Genomic DNA, 17,446 nt, shown 5'->3' with positions numbered 1-17,446 from the left:
CTTGTTTCCTACAAGGCTCATTTTGCAAACAGCAAAGCAACTCCAATAATTGTAGCAATATGTAATCTGATATAATATGTATGTATTAAACTACATGTTTATCTGCAGTCTAACACCGGCCCCCAAATAACAAAATGCTGCAAATTTTAAAATTTTGCAGAGTACATTTGAGTCTCAAATTTATGAATTCCATTTTCTTTGCAGGGATGACGAAAGCGGAAGGCTTTTATTCCCCTTCCTTCTATTGTTGCTCACCTTTCAGTCAAAGCATGGGTCTGCTTCCCAAACTTCCTCCTTCCTTCTCCGTTCCTGGGTTTCCCTTGGAGCAACTCGCCACAGGGCCTCTGTTTGGCCTGGGCCTTTCCAGGATGCGTTACTTAGTCTTGGTTCTCAGGATCAGGTGAGGGCAACTCTCCTCTATGCTTAGCAGCCTGCCCAGCTGCTGCCATTTGCAGAAAGCTTGAACCCAAGGAGAAGCCCTTTACGATCTGGAAGAAGGTGCCATCAACATTGGTACCTTTGCTTCTCGCATCAGCACCTGACATGTCTCCTCCTGAAACTTTTTTCCTGCCTGTCTCTAGAGAACCATCTCCTTTTTTGCCAGGGCTTTCAGCCTTCATTTCTCCAGGAAGTGATTTTCTCAGTCTCTCCACAAAAACCTAGGAGGAAAGAAACTGGCATTTCATCCGTAATTGGCCATGGTGTGGTATCAAAAGGCAGTGGGAATATGAATAAGCTTTTTACATGGTTGACACAAATATGTCTTCCAACAAAAACCAGCTCCTGCCAACACTGGAATAGGTAGTGATATAGTTTGGATAGGTATTCCCTCTAAATCTCTGTTGAAATGTGATCCCCAGTGTTGGAGGTAGGGCCTGCAGGGAGGTGTTTGGATCATAGAGGCAGATCCCTTATGAAGGGCTTGGTGACCCCCCACCTTGCTCCACCCACTCCCCCTCGCCCACCTCCCCTACTTCCCCAGTAATGGGTAATGAGTGAGTTCTTGCTCTATTAGTTCACACGAGAGCTGATTGTTTATAAAAACCAGGCATCTCGTTCCCTCCTTGCTCCCTCTCTCACCATGTAACATGCCGCTCTCGCTTTGCCTTCCCACTGAAAGATTCCTGAGGTCTCTCCAGAAGCCGAGCAGATGCTGGTGCCATGCTTGTACAGCCAAATAAACCTCCTTTCTTTATAACTACCCAGTCTCAGGTATTCCTTTACAGCAATGCAAAACAGGCTAATAGAGGAAGAAAGCTGACTTTGTTTTGAGTAATCAGTGATGGGATTACACAGAAAGTCCACGTGTCAAGGAATGACTTCGAGTTATCTTCCTGGAAATGACTTAGAGTATCTTCCTGGAAATGAAGATCAATATACTTTATTCATGGTGTGTATGGATGGGGACTTGTGTATGTGTGAGTTCCTTCCTTTATAAAGGAGCTAGTTTCTGAAATTGAGAGGGCCAGGTTCCCAGGGGATAATTAGGATTTTAACAGCTTGCTGTGAGCGGAAAATTTCACTTCTCTATGTGTTGAAAAGTAAGTGCATGCTAATGGTTATCCATGCCATTAGTTAGTCTGCCAAAGATTTCTATCAGACTTAGACATTCAGATAGATGTTCCAACAAGCACTACAATCAGCAGATACCTGTAAAGACTTCTGGAGCAAATTAGTCTGTACCTGATGCATTATCTAAGCACGTTTGCTTTTCAGATTCATAAGTTTTTCTTATTGCTGTCAGAGTAGCATTTTATTTCTCTTGACTTTCTATTGAATTCTTTAAGGTGGCTGTTCCAAACCCTTTTTATCTGTAAACTAAAAATAAAATTCTAAGGCCCCCAACCATCTGAATGCACTCCCTCCTTTCAGCTAGAGCACTTCAAAGTTAACCTGAAAGACTGATACAGGCCATGATGGGAAAGTGGGGGTCAGACATGCCTCATGATGCCCTCCTCCCTTTTGGAATTCAGGAAAAGCCAACCAGCATTTAACATCAACACAGACCTTAAGTCTGATGAGGAACATTTACAGTCTATTCTCTCTGAAGCCTGCTACCTGGAGGTTTCATCTGCAGGACAAAACCTTGGTCTCCACAACCCCTTCCCTTAACCCAGACATTCCTTTCTACTGATAATAACTCTTTCAACCAATTGCCAACCAGAATATGCTTAAATCTACCTATGACCTGGAAGCCCCCACTTTGAGTTGTCCTGCCCCTTCAGATTGAACCAATGTAAATCTTACATGTATTGATCGATGTATTGTGTCTCCCTAAATTGTATAAAAGCAAGCTGTATCCAGACCACCTTGGGCACATGTCATCAAAGCATCCTGAGGCTGTGTCACAGATGCGTCCTCAGCCTTGGCAAAATAAACTTTCTAAACTAATTGAGACCTGTCTCAGATACTTTTGGGTTCACACATCCTTCCCAAAGAAGTTCTGACCCACTCCATCTTTCATAGATGACTTCTGCACCTAATTTACTGAAAAGATCAAGGGCTCAGCTCTCCTCTCCACTGTCTTAATTTTGCTTGGATCATCATTTATCACTTGCTTTTTCCTTCATTCTTCCTCCCTATTTCCAGAGAAGTCACATGCTATCTTTGTTCTCAAAGCTAACCTTATCTGGGTTTCTTGATTTTACCAGTACTTCTTTGCCTCCACCTCCATCTACCAGTATTTTCCTCCTTCTGGCATGTTCAGGTTGCCATTCTCTAGCTCCTTGAAAATATACCCTAACTTCCCGACTGCAAAAGCCTGAACCATGCATGACACTGCTTCCCTATCAGATTGCTAACCTGTCTTTTTCCTTCCCTTTACAAACAAATTTCTGGCAAGTGGAGGCTATCATGAGCTTCTCCGCTTTCTTTATATGCTTTATACTTGTCAAATCCTGGCAATCTGGAACCATCACACTTTTTAAAAATTAAAACTGGCCTCTTGAGCCAAGCACGGTGGCACACACCCATAGTCCCAGCTGCTTGGGTGGCTAAGGTAGTAGGACTGCTTGAGCCCAGGAGTTTGAGGTTGTCATGAGCTATGATAACACCTGTGAATAGCCACTGCACTCCAGCCCAGGCAACGTAGCAAACCTCATCTGAAAAAAAAGAAAAGGCCGGGCACAGTGGCTCACGCCTGTAATCACAGCATTTTGGAAGGCTGACGTGGGCAGATCATGAGGTCAAGAGATCGAGACCATCCTGGCCAACATGGTGAAATCCGCTCTCTACTAAAAATACAAAAATTAGCTGAGCGTGGTGGTGTGTGCCTGTAGTTGGGAGGCTGAGGCAGGAGAATCGCTTGAACCTGGGAGGCAGAGGGTGCAGTGAGTCAAGATCGTGCCATTGCACTCTAGCCTGGGCAACAGAGTGAGACTCCATCTCAAGAAAACAAACAAACAAATAAACAAAAAACCAACCTGGCCTCTCAAAAGGTGTCACTGAATTCAGTGAACTAATGAACTGTTCAAACCCCAGATCCAAAGACCTCCTCCTGCTGCTCTCTGTAACACTCAACAATTCTGACTGGGCCATGCTTGGAAAAGAGGGACAGTGAGCGAGACTAGGGAATAAGGGCAGATAAGTGAATTAAATGGATTCCAGAAGGGAAGGGAAGTTTTTGCAAGCAGCCATTGAAAAGGTTAAGCTGAGTCAAACACTCCAGGGTCTTGGGCTTTGTTCTTTTTTTGTGGAAGGGGATGGGATAGAGTTGCCTCCTAAGCCCTACTGTCAGAACCAGGGCAGTGGGTCCTGTGTATTCTGGTGGGTTTGGGCACAGCACTGCCTGAGCAGATAATGGCCATGTGGTTTTTGTTTTGGGGAAAGGACTTAGACAGATACTCAGAGCCCACAGAGAGGTTTCTCTTTACTTTATGGACTTAGGCATATTGACAATGCTCACCCCAAGCTTCTCTAAAGAACTCAAGTTATTCCAGATCCAAGACTATACCCAGGGGAAGATAACATTGGATGACCTCTCTTTCTTCAGATTCTTACCGTGGTTTTCATAACAACATACTGTTCCTCCCTCTCTGGCCTTTGTCTCTCACTGGCTCATCTGTTGTTGCATGAGCTGCAAAAGCAGAAACATCCCAAGGTTCCCCTCCAGCGGATTCCTCTTCTCTCAGTGTATCTACCTTTGATTTATCATCCATTCCCATGCTTTCTAAAAGCTTGATGAAGCTGCCTCTTCTACAGTATAACCAAAAGTACACTAGGTTCTAGGAGGCACACTTTATTTTGGATAATTTTGAAAGCTGTGCAAACCTGCATCAAACTGCCCCACACTAACTCACTAATTTGGAAGGGTGGCCACATTCACACATATTAGAAATTACATGATCAGTTCCTACAGAAACAGTAGTGCCCATTCCATAGGTCCCCTGCTGTTGCTACGTTCTTTTGTTGTTCAGCCTACCTCCATGACCTTTAACTTAAGGACAAGTTTCCTAGTCCCATACCAGAGGGCCTATTCGTTTGAGAGGAGCAAGATGCATTAATATGTAATAATAGCTGATGAGGCCATGTTGAAGGAATGATGGCATAAGAAAATTCCATTTGGCTACCACCGCAGTAATAACTGCTTAAGGGAAGAATGACCAATAAAAGCTAAAAGAACAATGAGAAACAGGATATTTATGCCATCTCAAAGTATCTCCCAATAAGATACTTATTTAAAAAGTAAAAACAGTAATTTTCAGTGGGGAAATCTAGCAGATACCACCTCAACCAAGTGATCAAAGGGAACATTAGCATTAACGGGACAAATAGGTATCATGTGCCTCTTGACATGAAGCACCGAGAAGACCACAGCATGGCTTCTGAATATTCCTGAACAAAAACGCATACTTTGAATCGAATCACAAGAAAACATCAGACAAATCCAAACTGAGCATCATTCTACAAAACAATTAGCTTGTACTCTTATAAACATGTTAAGATCATGAAAGACAAGAAAGAAGAATTGTTTCAAATTAAGGGAGATTAAAGAAACATGACAATTAAATGTGACATATGATTCTGAACTGGATCCAGGACCACAAAAAGGACACTAGTGGGCAATTGGCAAAATCTGAATAAAGTTTGTAGATTACACTATTGTTTCAGTATCAATTTCTGGATTTGGCAGTTGTATTACGGTTATGTAAAAGAATGTTCCCGTTTTTAAAAAAATATACACCGAAATATTTAGAGAAAAAGGGACCACATATCTGTAATGTATTTGCAAATATTTCAGAAAAAATTGTGTATTTGTAGAGAGAGAGAATAATAAAGCAAGTGTGATAAAGTATTAACTTTCAGGGAATTTGAAAAGAGTATATGAGAAAGAGTTTTCTCATATAACACTAACTAATATTTCCTTCCAGAGGGAATGCAGTATGGCAGCATTATCTTTGAAACAAATTAAGAAGATTGTAACAAATAACAGACAAATACTTCTACACATATATTTTCCATGGGCAATAAATAGATAAGTATAGAATTATGAAAAATATGCCTCGATGATGCTTTTTAAAATTTCTCAAGGTTCACTGGTTTGTTTTTCTTATTAAAATATACTTCATTATCACTACTATCTGTCCTGGGAAAAACAAACCCTGAGGTTTGAGTTTCCTCCTTTAGCCAATTGAGTGATATCGAGAGAAAACGTGGATTGAGGTCAACCTGTTTGAGTCAACAGAGAGTTCTGTAGTATATCTGTTTATTTTACTAATTTATACATATTCTAGGTCATAATCAAGATACTCATCAAATATTTTCTATCAAAGTTTTATATCCCAAACAGGTTGTTTGATGATTTATCTGGCTACCATAGGAAATTTGAAGAAATAACAAATCGTGTAACAGAAATAGACATGCAATAGAGAGGACATAAAAGATACAGCTTGACCCTAGGTTTTTCCCTTAGAATAATTCCTTCCATAAATAAGATTTTATTTTTACATATAGATTCGTCCTATAACAGGTCTTGGATCATAAAGTCAATGACATAGTTGAAAAAATCCAGACCACACATTTTTGTGGTCTTTTGCCACCCTAGATCACACACAAAAAAACATTCTCCAAGTGAATGCTCAGGACAGATTATGAGGCTCTTAAATAAAGAAATTGACTGAAGCTTAGAATGTAAAGCACACAACTATTTGCAGCAGCAATAGTCTTTCAAAAATGACTAAGCAAACTTTTAAATATAAGGTATATAAAATGGACTATTAAGGATAGTTTTCCAAACTATATCTAGAAATACAGGAAAGTATGTGTTACCTCATAATAAAGTTAAACAAATATTATTTCTGAGTTCTATAAACACTGTAGGAGGTTATAGTTTTATTTGGTTCCCTTAAGTTAAAAACTCTGCTTTTACATAAATTCCTCCAAATTCTTAGCTACTCTCAGATTTTTTTTTTTTTTTTTTTTGAGACAGAGTCTCGCTCTGTCACCCAGGATGGAGTGCAGTGGCATGATCTCAGCTTACTGCAACATCCGCCTCCTGGGTTCAAGTGATTCTCCTGCCTCAGCTTCCTGAGTAGCTGGGATTACAGGCACACACCACCAGGCCCGGCTAAGTTTTGCATTTTTAGTAGAGACAGGGTCTCACCATGTTGGCCAGGCTGGTCTTGAACTCCTGGCCTCAGATGATCAGAACACTAATATTTACTGAAGACAATGGATACTTACCAAGGATTCACTAAGTGGTCTTCAAAGCATTTTATATGTATAAACTCTTTTAATCTTCACATTAAGATTATGTAGTGGGTACTCTTATTATCTTCAAATTAAAGATGAGGAAACAAGTTTAGAGAAGTTAAAAATACTGGTTGAAGTCCTACTGTTAGCAACGGTAGAGTCGCAATTTAGATAGTGGCTGTCTGATTCTAGAGCTCACACACTTAACGTCTGTGCCATGTATATAATTACTATAGATTGCTTAGGTAATCAGCCACCTGTCTGGGAAGCTCAGCTCTCCGAAAATTTCTCAGTGATATCACATTATATGCATATAACCAGGTGGCTCTGGCTGAGAATAGATATAGAGTTTGTAAACAGTTTTAAACAAGGGTAGGGAAGAGATTAATACATCGTACCTACATCCTATTCTTTGTCCTTCCCTGGATACATGGGAAGCCTACACTTCCTAGCTCTCTTGCAGTTAGGCAAGGCCACGTGACTAGCTGTAGCCAATAAAATGTGAGCAGAAATGACTTGCATCACTTCCCACATAAAACATGTAAGGGTCAGTGTGGCCCCTCCATGTTCTCTCTTTCTCTTTAAGGTGACCATGAAGTCCACAAGTTGAAATGTCAGAGCCACAGTTTAGAAATAACCCAGACCTGGAGTCGCTGACTGCATGAAGGACAGATTCCCGGAAGAATCACTCCATCCCTGTTGGATTTTGTGTGAACAAGAAACAAATCTGTTAAATTAAGCCACTAAACTGCTGGGGTTTACTTATGACCATAACCTAGCCTGCCCTATGTAGGCTACAGCGGCTTAAATGCCTGCAGGGGTCTGACCAGCAGTTGAAATGAAATGAATGAAGTAGCTGGGCATGAGTGTAAGAGAAAATACCCAGGCTGGAAGGGTGACTATGTTACATGGGAGATGCATGTCCCATTAGGGGAGAAGAGCTGCTACTCAGAGCTAGTTCATGATTTTACGAAATGATTTGGAGCCAGCATTGCAAGATCTTAACTGGAGATTTTTTTTTTTTCAAGAAAATCTGGAAATACAGATTTTGATGTGAAATTCCCAATTTTTAAATGTTGGTAGCTAATATAGATTAACAAAACAAAACAAAAAGAAAAGAAAAACAGACATCCTTGCTATTTCCCAAACATCATAGGCATTGTTTCTGCCTCTTGCTGTGCCTCCTGCCTGGAATACTCTTCCCCTCTATGCCCACAAGCCTTACTTCTTCTTCTGCTCAGGTGTTTTCCCAAATGTCACCTTCTCAGGGAGGCCTTTCCTAATTACTCTTTTAAAAATTGCAACACCTCCTTCTTTCCACCTTGTACTCTCTCTCCTTCCCTGCTTTTCAATTTTTCTCTATACTACTTATCATCCTGTAGAATAATAGAATTTTAAAAATTATTGGCTGACTGCCCATATCCTCCCATTATACTCAAAGTATATAAGGGTGAGGATTTTTCCCTGTTTTGTTCACTGTTTTTGCCAAGTGCCTACAGAGGGACCTGGCACACAGTAAGTGCTCAACAAGTATTTGTTAAGTAAATGAATTTTTAAAACATCCCACCCTGGGGGTCAGAAAAAGCGCATCTGGAATGTTGATTCGATGTGTGGACCATTACTTCACAACTCGGGTTTCAGTCCCTCACTGAGCAGCCCTTGGAAATTAGTGCCATTTAGAGTGGCAAGCAGTTTCCTGCCTCCCATGAAGTTGATGTTTGATTGATTTTGCTCTGGGAAATGGATCACAGTGGGCTTTAAGAAAACTCTTGTAAATTCTAGGGGGCCTCATGCCTGCCTGTGTGCTCACAGAATACTGTGACAGCAGTCTACTATTGATTTTGTCTCTACTGTACATCCTAGATTTGTTCATACCCAAATTTTTGTCTCAGTCCTGCCCTGTGAACCAGTCCTGGTCTTTAGAACATGAGCCAAAATGCATTCCCCTTTGCTCATTAAGTTGGTTTGAATTGAGTTTCTGTCACTGTGGATGGAGTTCTGATCAGTAGAATGTGACTCCCGACTGGCTGTTTTCTGTTTCTGAGTCATAGTTTCCTCACATAGAAAAAGGAGGGTGTAAGATTAAATAAGCACGAAAGTCTTTTCCGGGATTCTAACATTTTGGGATTCTAACACATTTAAGCCCCCCAACCCCATCCCCACCCCTTCAATGGAGGCTAAACATTTTTGACTTTAGATAAACTTGGTTCCCTGGAGCCACGTGGTACTCTCTGGCCTTGGTATCACCAACCCCTCTGACTTATGATGTCTACTGCTCCTACCTCCTTTGGGGGTTGACTGCTCTTGCTATATGTTCGGGCCCTGCTCTTATTGCCAGAGCTGCTTGTATTTTACTTGTAGCAACTTCAGATATAGCCTCCAATATATTTTTCTTCTCTCTGACCTCAACTCCTTTTTGCCTTTCATTTGTCTCCCCGCACCCCCGCCCTTGGTCCCTGCCTTGCTAAAGTCATATCAATCTGCAGCATCAAGACATTTTTAGGTCTTTCAGTCTAGGACCCTCTCATGTCTTCCTTTCTCAGACTTTTCCCATTTTTCTCGGGCATGAGTAAGAATCTTACTTTATCAGCTCAAGTCAGAAAGCAACATTACCTTATTTTCTTTAAATCAGAATAGAATCTGACTTCAGTCTCCTGTTGGTAGGCCTGGAGGGAAATGTAATTTCAGTCACTGTTAGGGATTCCTCCCCTTACCCCTGAGTCAAACAAAGGTCCTGGGGACTTCATCTAAAACCAATCATTTGGAGGAGTCCCTCCAGCTCAGGGCATGCTGATTACTGTGGACGTGCTCATTTTTCTAGCCCACATGGTAGCTGCTGGGCCCTACTTGGCCATGAAAATAATGACAACGATTAACGTTTATGGAATGTTACTAACGTGCCAGGGACTTGGTAGTGCTTTACATAAATAGTTTTATATGAGGCAACTACTCTTTGATCTAGAACATTCTTTTCCCAGATAACTTATGGTTCTCCCTCATCTTCCTCAAGGCTTTGCCTAGATATTACCTTCTCAATGAGCATATCCTGACCACCAGTATCTGTGCCCCTCCCTTTCTAATTCTGCTTTTCCCAGCTCTACTTTGTTTCCATAACCCTTATCATCGTCCAGCATACCATGCTGTGTGATTTACCTACTAATAGAGTCTTTCATCTGCCCCCCTCCCCCCACCACTAGAATGTAAGTTCTGTAAGGGTAGGACCTCCAGTTTTTTAATTCTTTCTTTCAACTCCTAGAATAGTACCCAGTATATAGTTCAATAATTTTTTTTTTTTTTTGAGACAGAGTCTCACCCTATTACCCAGGCTGGAGTGCAATGGCGCAGTCTCGGCTCACTGCAACCTCCGTCTCCTGGGTTCAAGTGATTCTCCTGCCTCAGGCTCCCGAGTAGCTGGCATTAGAGGCGCGCACCACTGCGCCTGGCTAATTTTTTGTATCTTTAGTAGAGACGGGGTTTCACTATGTTGGCCAGGCTGGTCTCGAACTCCTGACTTCGTGATCCGCCTGCCTCAGCCTCCCAAAGTGCTGGGATTACAGGCATAAGCCACTGCGCCCAGCCCTAAACATTTGTAGAATAATAGTCCTAGTTTTACAGATGAGGAAACAGGCAATAAAGGGAAGTAACTACCCCATGTCACACAGCCAGCAAGTGGCAGAGTTTGGGTTCAAACTCAGCCCATCTGATTTCTTTTTAGGACTGCATTCTTTCTGTGAACTGGCTATCCTCACACTTAGACCTGGCTGCCCAGGGCACATCCTATAGCCACTCCTCCCAGAGGCCCTGCCGTATCCCTGGGGCACTGGGAGGACACAGAGCATAGGTCCCAATCCTCAGTGAACCCATGAATCTTCCCCCTCTTTCAGCTCAACCCCCATTCTTTCCCCAAATACTCCCCACTTCCAGAATATCTAATATTATATCCTCAATTAGATTAAACTCTTATTTATACCACGAAAAGAGTTTATCTTTTAAGAAACCCCTCCTGAGACCAAGAAATAGAAGGGCTACTTAGAATGAGGAGGTGGGATATCTGGAAAACAAAGCAGAAGTAGCTCGGAGTGTCTCTCTGTGTGTGTGTGAGAGAGAGAGAGAGAGAGAGAGAGTGTGTGAGCATGTGTGTGAGTATGTGTGAGAGTGTGTGTGTCAGTGAGTGTGTGTGTGAGTGTGTGTGTGAGAGTGTGTGTGTGATGAGCACTCCAGGCTCCCTTTCCCAAACCAGCTGAAAGATCCCCTTTTTCTCTTCTTTAAAACAGTTCTGAAATCTAGCCATGCCACCAATACCTGCAGAAACATTCTGGATGGAACAGGCTTGCCCAGACCCTCCTCTCCAGAAGGCAAGTATGGAAAGGCCGTCCTCCTGTACGGACTGTTCCCTGCACTGCTTCCTCAATACATCCGGCATAGCATTTGATTAAAGCCTCCTGGGAAAATGACTCCTTCACATTTGGTGAGAAAATAGTTTTTCCTTTGTGCTCCCCAACCGCTGTTCACTGCATCAGGGATGAAAGAGTGCAGTGATCTTTTCAAACAAGGGAGCATCGAGCCTTTTGCAAAGACCATAATAATAATAAGTGGAGAGGTGCAGAAATTTCTTCTCTGCCTGAGTCAGCACCTCACCCATCATGCAGGGCTGCATGGACAGTGCTCACACTGTGAGCCCATCATTTTTCTGCTGTTTGAGAGAAAGCTGTGTTTTCAAAGTGCAGTCTCCCCTTTGGGACCCAACCCCTCTGATGATGTGCACAAAAATAATAATATTAATAAAGATGCTATTCTTTTCTCCTTTTTCCCTCCCCACCCCTTCCCTTCTAGAAAATCAATGCTTGTAAATATTGTGGGGAGGGGAGGCAGAGCATTGCCTTAATTCTAGCCAGCTGACAAGACCTTGGCACTTATCTGAAAGGGCATCTGTACCATATGGCCAGGCTAGAGGGGATGCATTTCCAACCTCAAACATTTCCTGTCTTTCTAGTGACTTCCTATCTCTCTGTGATTGACAAGTATTTTTAGATGCTGGGGATTGATTTTAAAAACCAAACCTCATTGTGATCCTTTCACAGCTGGGCCCTTTATGTTCCATCTCTGAGTGAGTGGCAGCAAGGACCAGTGCGATCAAAAAGGAGAAAGTGGAATGCGACATCACCCCCAAGGAGAGGAAGACCATGGGCCAAGAGCTTCAGGGTGACCCAGTCATAGGCCCGGGAGAGACAGATCTGCACTAGATGCTGTGCAGAGCCCTGACACCCAGAGCAGGCAGGTCTGAGGAACCCGGGAAGGGTCTCTTTTACTGGCCTCCCTTTTCTATTGGTGTAAATTGGGATGCCTGGTGGGGAAATCCCCTGACAGATTTGCCCTAGGCGAACCATGTATTCTTGCACCTTGGTGTTCTCATTTGTAAAAGGGAGGGGTATCTAATAGGTACCTCTGAAATGCTATGGCTTTGTGGCTGCTGTGAGGCAGAAGAAGCCATGTCTCATGAAGCTGAGCTGTCACGTAGGGCTCCCAGAGGTGGCCACACCGCTGTCTCTGGACGTCCTTAACTGTCAGAGTTACCTAGAGGGCTTGCTAAAGCACAGGCTGCTGGGCCTCACACCCAGCGCCTTTCAAACCTGAGAATGTGTTACCTGTTCCTAGATGCTGCTGCTGCGATGAGTCTGGGGATCAGGTGTTCAGAACCGCTGCTCGAGTGGTCCACTGCCCAGTGGGAGGAAGTGCTCTGAGGTGTAGATCTCCTGCGTGGATCACAGCCAGCCAGGCTTGCAGCCTTCAGGATGCCTCACTCTCCCTCCCACCTGCCGGGTCAGCCTAGGGGAGGGGCCAGGATAACTCAAAGTTAACTCGTGATAAAATACCCCCTATTCCTGAATGGACCTGGGTCTGGGGCCCTGTCTAGGGAGCTCCTTTCATTTTGAGTGTCCCCATCCTGGGATGACAAGGGCTTTCCTATCTGAAAGAGGGCAGCTTCGCTTATGCTGGTCTCCAACGTCAGGGAGGGTGTCTCTTTGGCCTTAGTGTTCCTGGTGCTAGCAAAATGCTTGCCTCTGGGTCAGGGCCCAGTCAATGTCCCACAAACTAAGAGCCTCAATATTTGTGCAAGAGCTAGTGAAAGATAATGACAGAAAGTGATGGAATGAGTTTTAAGCATGTTCAGTCCAACAGTCACACTGACCGTTGTTTCTGAAAGCAAGCGAACCTCCTGAAGCTGAGCGACACTGATTTTCTCCCCTGTGAAACTACAAGACTTCATAAACGCGAAAGCGTCAGACGCCCGAGGGCTGCAGGAGCAAAAGTCAGCCAGCAGGGGGAGCTCTACCTTTGCACCTTGGCTCAGCCCCAAGGAGGGCATCCCCAGTCCCTCTAATAAAAAATAAAATAAAATAAAATAAAATAAAATAAAAGCAAACAACTCCTGTTATACTGCAAGATGCAGCGAATCTTTTTAGAAACAAGATGAGATAATAGGTAAAGAATACACAAAAAATTCCCAAGCTGAACGAAATCCTTCTATTTGTGCAGCAGTCATAGACACAGCCTAGCGAGTCCACAGCTGACTGCTCCAGCAGATAACGGCTCTCCCTTCCAGGAAGTATCCCAGCTCAGAGACTCACCCAGTGTAGAAAAGGAAGTCATTCCAGGGATACAGAAAGAGCAGCAGAGGCTCCGAGATAGATAGAAGGTGTCTGGGGGGAAAGAGAGAGACTAGGATGATTGGAAAGGAGGATTCTTCTCCCTGATCCATTCCTCGAGCTGTGAAGACAGACTGGGAGACAGTACTCAAGGCAGGGCCTGAGGACAGTCACCCTAGTTGTGAGGTCATCTACCCTTGCATACTCAGTGTTCCACTGGCAATAGATTTCTGCCCACCCTTCAAAAATTAAGAAGAAGCAAAACTGGCACTGCTCCAATCCCACCATCCCATCGGTAGGAGAGGCCTTCTGGCTGGGTCCCTAAGGATGTCTCTGGGCTTGTACTGTTCCATTTCCACACTCTCTCAAAGTTCCTCTAGTGAGCCTAGCGGTCACCATCAGGCATGATGAGGATGTAGGACAACTTCAAAGGGTGCAGCTGGCAATCAGCCCACAGGGAGCAAGAGTAGACCTTCATTAGCCACATGTTCTGTCACCTGCACTGGCAACTTGACAGAGAATTGAAATCTTAGCATCATTATATGGCGCCTTTCTCTAAAGCACTTCCTCGAGCTTTCTACTACCCATACTCCAAAACTGGTCCACTTCCTATATTGTCAATCTGCTTGAGTTAGTGTCATCATTCACAAAGTCATGGAAAAAGTCACTTTCTAGTTATTTTTTCACTGTTTTGCTACTGTCCACAGTCACCCAGTCAAGAAATCCTGATCATTCTGCCTCTTAAATAATGTGTCTTCTCTCCTTCATGGTATCTAGTCAGGACTCATCTGGAGGACTACCAACCTCTGTCTTCTCTAGTTCCATCCTCAACGCTGATTCCAGATCATCTAAAATTCATGTCTGATCATGTAGTTGCCCTGCTCAAAAGCCATTGTCAGTTCCCCAGTGCCTGCAGAGCATAAGGCTGCATTGCGTTCAGGAATGGCATAGGGTACAAATAAATAAATGAGTGAATTAATAAAAACACACAGATAGAAAAGAGGAATTGAGAATAAGAGAGTTTTTTTTAAAAAAATTCCAGTCATTTGAGAGATCACCATTGTGATCCTGTAAGCCTTACCATGCCCTCGAGTTGAATTCTAATCAACACAAGGGAATAAAAATTATATTCATACATTTTATTCCACTATTTACTTAGAAAACTTCATGCCACCCCAGCCAGTTATCCGTCTCATTTCCCTTATAGGTTCAAAAGCACTTTGTACTGCTTCCCTAAGATTTGCACTAATGAGAAATGAGGTGCCACATGGTCAGTCTCATGCGGCATACCAGATTGTCCCCAGAGGTTCTTTCTGTAGTTAGCCGGGTGAACACGTTTAACACATTTTCTTTTAGCCAGAAGTGGGGAAATGTTTCCTCTCCGTATACATGACCTTGCCATGTACTCACCTTAGAAAAATATCTTTTTCTGAATGCACACAATGTTTGGCTTCTTATAAAACCGCAGCTCCTGCAATTTCATCCTTAATATCTGCAGCTTGAGGGTGGTAGGTCCTTGCCGTTGCACTTGACAGGAGCTGACAAGTAGACACTTGTGGAGTCCCTGATGCTGTGACTGGCCTGTTTCGGGGATGAGGCAAGGAGGAGCTCGTTTTGTATTTATGCACCCAGGCAACCTTTGTGTTTACTGTCTCTTTGGTCAGCTTCCAAACTAGCAGCACCGCACCCGTTAACACAGGCTCCACGGCCAGTTGCAGATGGGCTGGCCTGCCAGCTGTGAGGAATTGTTACTTTTAGCTTGAGCAATTGGTGGTTTCATGTGAGGAGCAGCTTTACAATCACACATCAGTTTCGCCTGACAAAAATCCTTAATGCTCACTGAGGTGGTGAAACCAAAAGGTGTGGCACGTACTACTGATCATACTGTCTGCTTTGATCTTGAGAGATGGCTGAATATTATTTACTCAATCCATTTAAATTTGTTGAGATCCTGTGTGTTTGTCATTGACCAACGCTTCAGGAACCCAAAGATAAGGTATGGTGAGCCACACAGGTGATAGATTTGTGAGCAGGTGAATGAAATACAGAGCTAGAAATCCTGATCATTCTACCTCTTAAATAATGTGTGCAGAAAGAAAGCCAGCAGGCAGGAACAAAGTGCTCGGGGGAGACAGAGGAGGTGGAGTACAATTGGGGAAGTTTTGTGGATGTTTGGTATTTGAGCTGTGTGTAAAAGGCAAGGAGGAACATTTTAGGAAGAGCCCGTGCCAGATACTGTTCTTGATGCTTGAGCCCGTGCCAGATACTGTTCTTGACTCATTGAATCCTCACAACATCCCTGTGAGAAGTAAACTATTATGACACCCATTTTACAGATGAGGAAGCAGAGGCTTGTGGCAGTTAAGTCACTTCCCTAAGGTTACATAGCTAGTAAGTGAAGAGGCTGGGTCTTGAGATATTTCCAGGTATGTCATAAACGCTCAGTAAATGCTGTGATGAAAATGATAATCATTGAATCCAGGGGCAGCAGCCTCTAAAGCCCATGCCCTCAACTACTGTGTCATCATGACTCCAACAGCATGTCAGAGAAACCTATGTGTGGGCCTTACCTGGGATCACTAGAGGCGTGAGTCCTTTTGCAGGGCACTCTTACAGTCCTGAGTTAAAATCGGGAGTCTTGTCTAAATCATGCAGCAGGCAGAGTTGGTCTTTGGCTCTCACTGGTCCCAGGAGTGACCCTGTCTCCCTCTTCTGCATTCCTTTTCTTTCAGGCTGCTTCTCCTGCTCTTTCCTCGCTTTTAAAAAAATCTATTTCTTAGTAAAAAATCAGACATTTTAAGTCAGAATCTTAGAACTTGAAATATGAAAAAAACATGGAAATCATTTAGTTCAGCTCCTTGATTTTGTAGATGCAAAAACTGTAGCTAAGTTGATCAAGATGCTTTTTCTTGCAAGTGACAGAACCCAATTTAAATTATCTCAAGTGAAAAAGGGAGATACATTAGCTTTGGGGGGTGAAAGCAGCATCCAGGATTCAGGAAAATGTCACTAGTTTATTTGCACTTTCTCTTTAATCTCAAATCTTTTATCTCTGCTTCAGAATATGATGGCCTCAATTGTTCCTGGTGTACTTGAAATTAATTTCTTTCTTTTGTTTTCTTTTTCTTTTTTTTTATGACACAGGGTCTTTCGCTGTCACCCAGGCTGGAGTGCAGTGGTGCGATCTTGGCTCACTGCAACCTCCGCCTCCCGGATTCCAGTGATTCTCCCACCTCAGCCTCCTGAGTAGCTGGAACTGCTGGTCTGCGCCACTACGCCTGGCTAATTTTTGTATTTTTAATAGAGATGAGGTTTCACCATGTTGGCCAGCCTGGTCTTGAATTCCTAATCTCAAGTGATCCACTTACTCCAGCCTCCCAAAGTGCTGGGATTACAGGTGTGAGCCACCTCGCCCGGCCCAATTTCTTTATATGGTTCCTGAAAGATAGGGCCATGGGAAACCCCAAGCTTACATCTGATGTTAGTTATTTCAGATGAAAGAGAAAACGTCTCGCTCCCTGTTGCTATATATCCCAGGGAAAGGCTCTGATTGGCCAAGCTTGGGTCACATGGCTCCATCTTGGACCAATCACTGTGGCTACAAGATGTGCTATGATAATCCACCAGACCTGGATCTCAGGCCATTTCAGTGTGGGAATGGGGTGGGAGTGGCAGGTGTTACAGAGAGCAGCCCCACAAGAATCATATGTGGTTTTACAGAAGAAGGAGGGTTGCTCTTATCAGAAAGGCAATGAGATAGCCTTCTAAGGTGGTCTCCAGTGATCACCACCACCTTCTGTTATCAAGCCTGCATGTAATCTCCCTGTGAGTGTGGGATGGTCCTAGTAAGTCACTTTTAATGAGTAGAATATGAGGAAAGTGGTGGGATATCACTTCTGAGATTATTTTACAAAAGTTTGTGATCTCTCTCTCTCTCCCCTTTGCTCACTCTGAGGAAGCCACCTCCCACATTGTGAGCTGCCTTATGGAAAGGCCCATATGGCAAGGAACTGAGGGTTGCCTCTGGCCAAAGCCAGCAAGAAACTGAGACCCTCAATCCAATAGTCCACAAGGAACTGAATCTTGCCAATAACCACTGAGCGAGCTTG

General features: G+C 43.4%; 1 long non-coding RNA gene across 1 annotated transcript, besides 2 other annotated features; it reads right to left on the bottom strand.

The window, feature by feature from the left end:
• Positions 1–273: 273 nt before the first annotated feature.
• Positions 274–14,825, bottom strand: LINC01805 (long intergenic non-protein coding RNA 1805). Its single transcript, NR_147011.1, has 3 exons — positions 14,748–14,825; positions 12,336–12,443; positions 274–659 (listed from the first exon to the last, which is right to left on the bottom strand). It is a non-coding gene; the product is annotated as a long intergenic non-protein coding RNA 1805 (long non-coding RNA).
• Positions 8,149–8,443: a silencer, noted in NCBI's record as "tiled region #8770; K562 Repressive non-DNase unmatched - State 22:ReprW". NCBI's record gives its function as "represses a minimal TATA promoter and a strong SV40 promoter by Sharpr-MPRA in K562 cells {active_cell/tissue: K562}" and the evidence as "EXISTENCE:reporter gene assay evidence [ECO:0000049][PMID:27701403]".
• Positions 15,914–17,113: an enhancer, noted in NCBI's record as "BRD4-independent group 4 enhancer chr2:64711199-64712398 (GRCh37/hg19 assembly coordinates)". NCBI's record gives its function as "activates an origin of replication core promoter dependent on BRD2, P300/CBP, MED14 and CDK7 cofactors, and independent of BRD4, by STARR-seq in HCT116 cells {active_cell/tissue: HCT116}" and the evidence as "EXISTENCE:reporter gene assay evidence [ECO:0000049][PMID:35650434]".

This window comes from Homo sapiens, chromosome 2 (genome assembly GCF_000001405.40).
Source record: "Homo sapiens chromosome 2, GRCh38.p14 Primary Assembly".
Lineage (NCBI taxonomy): Eukaryota > Metazoa > Chordata > Mammalia > Primates > Hominidae > Homo > Homo sapiens.
Note: the sequence above shows the minus strand (reverse complement) of the source record. Positions and strands in the feature narration are given on the sequence as shown.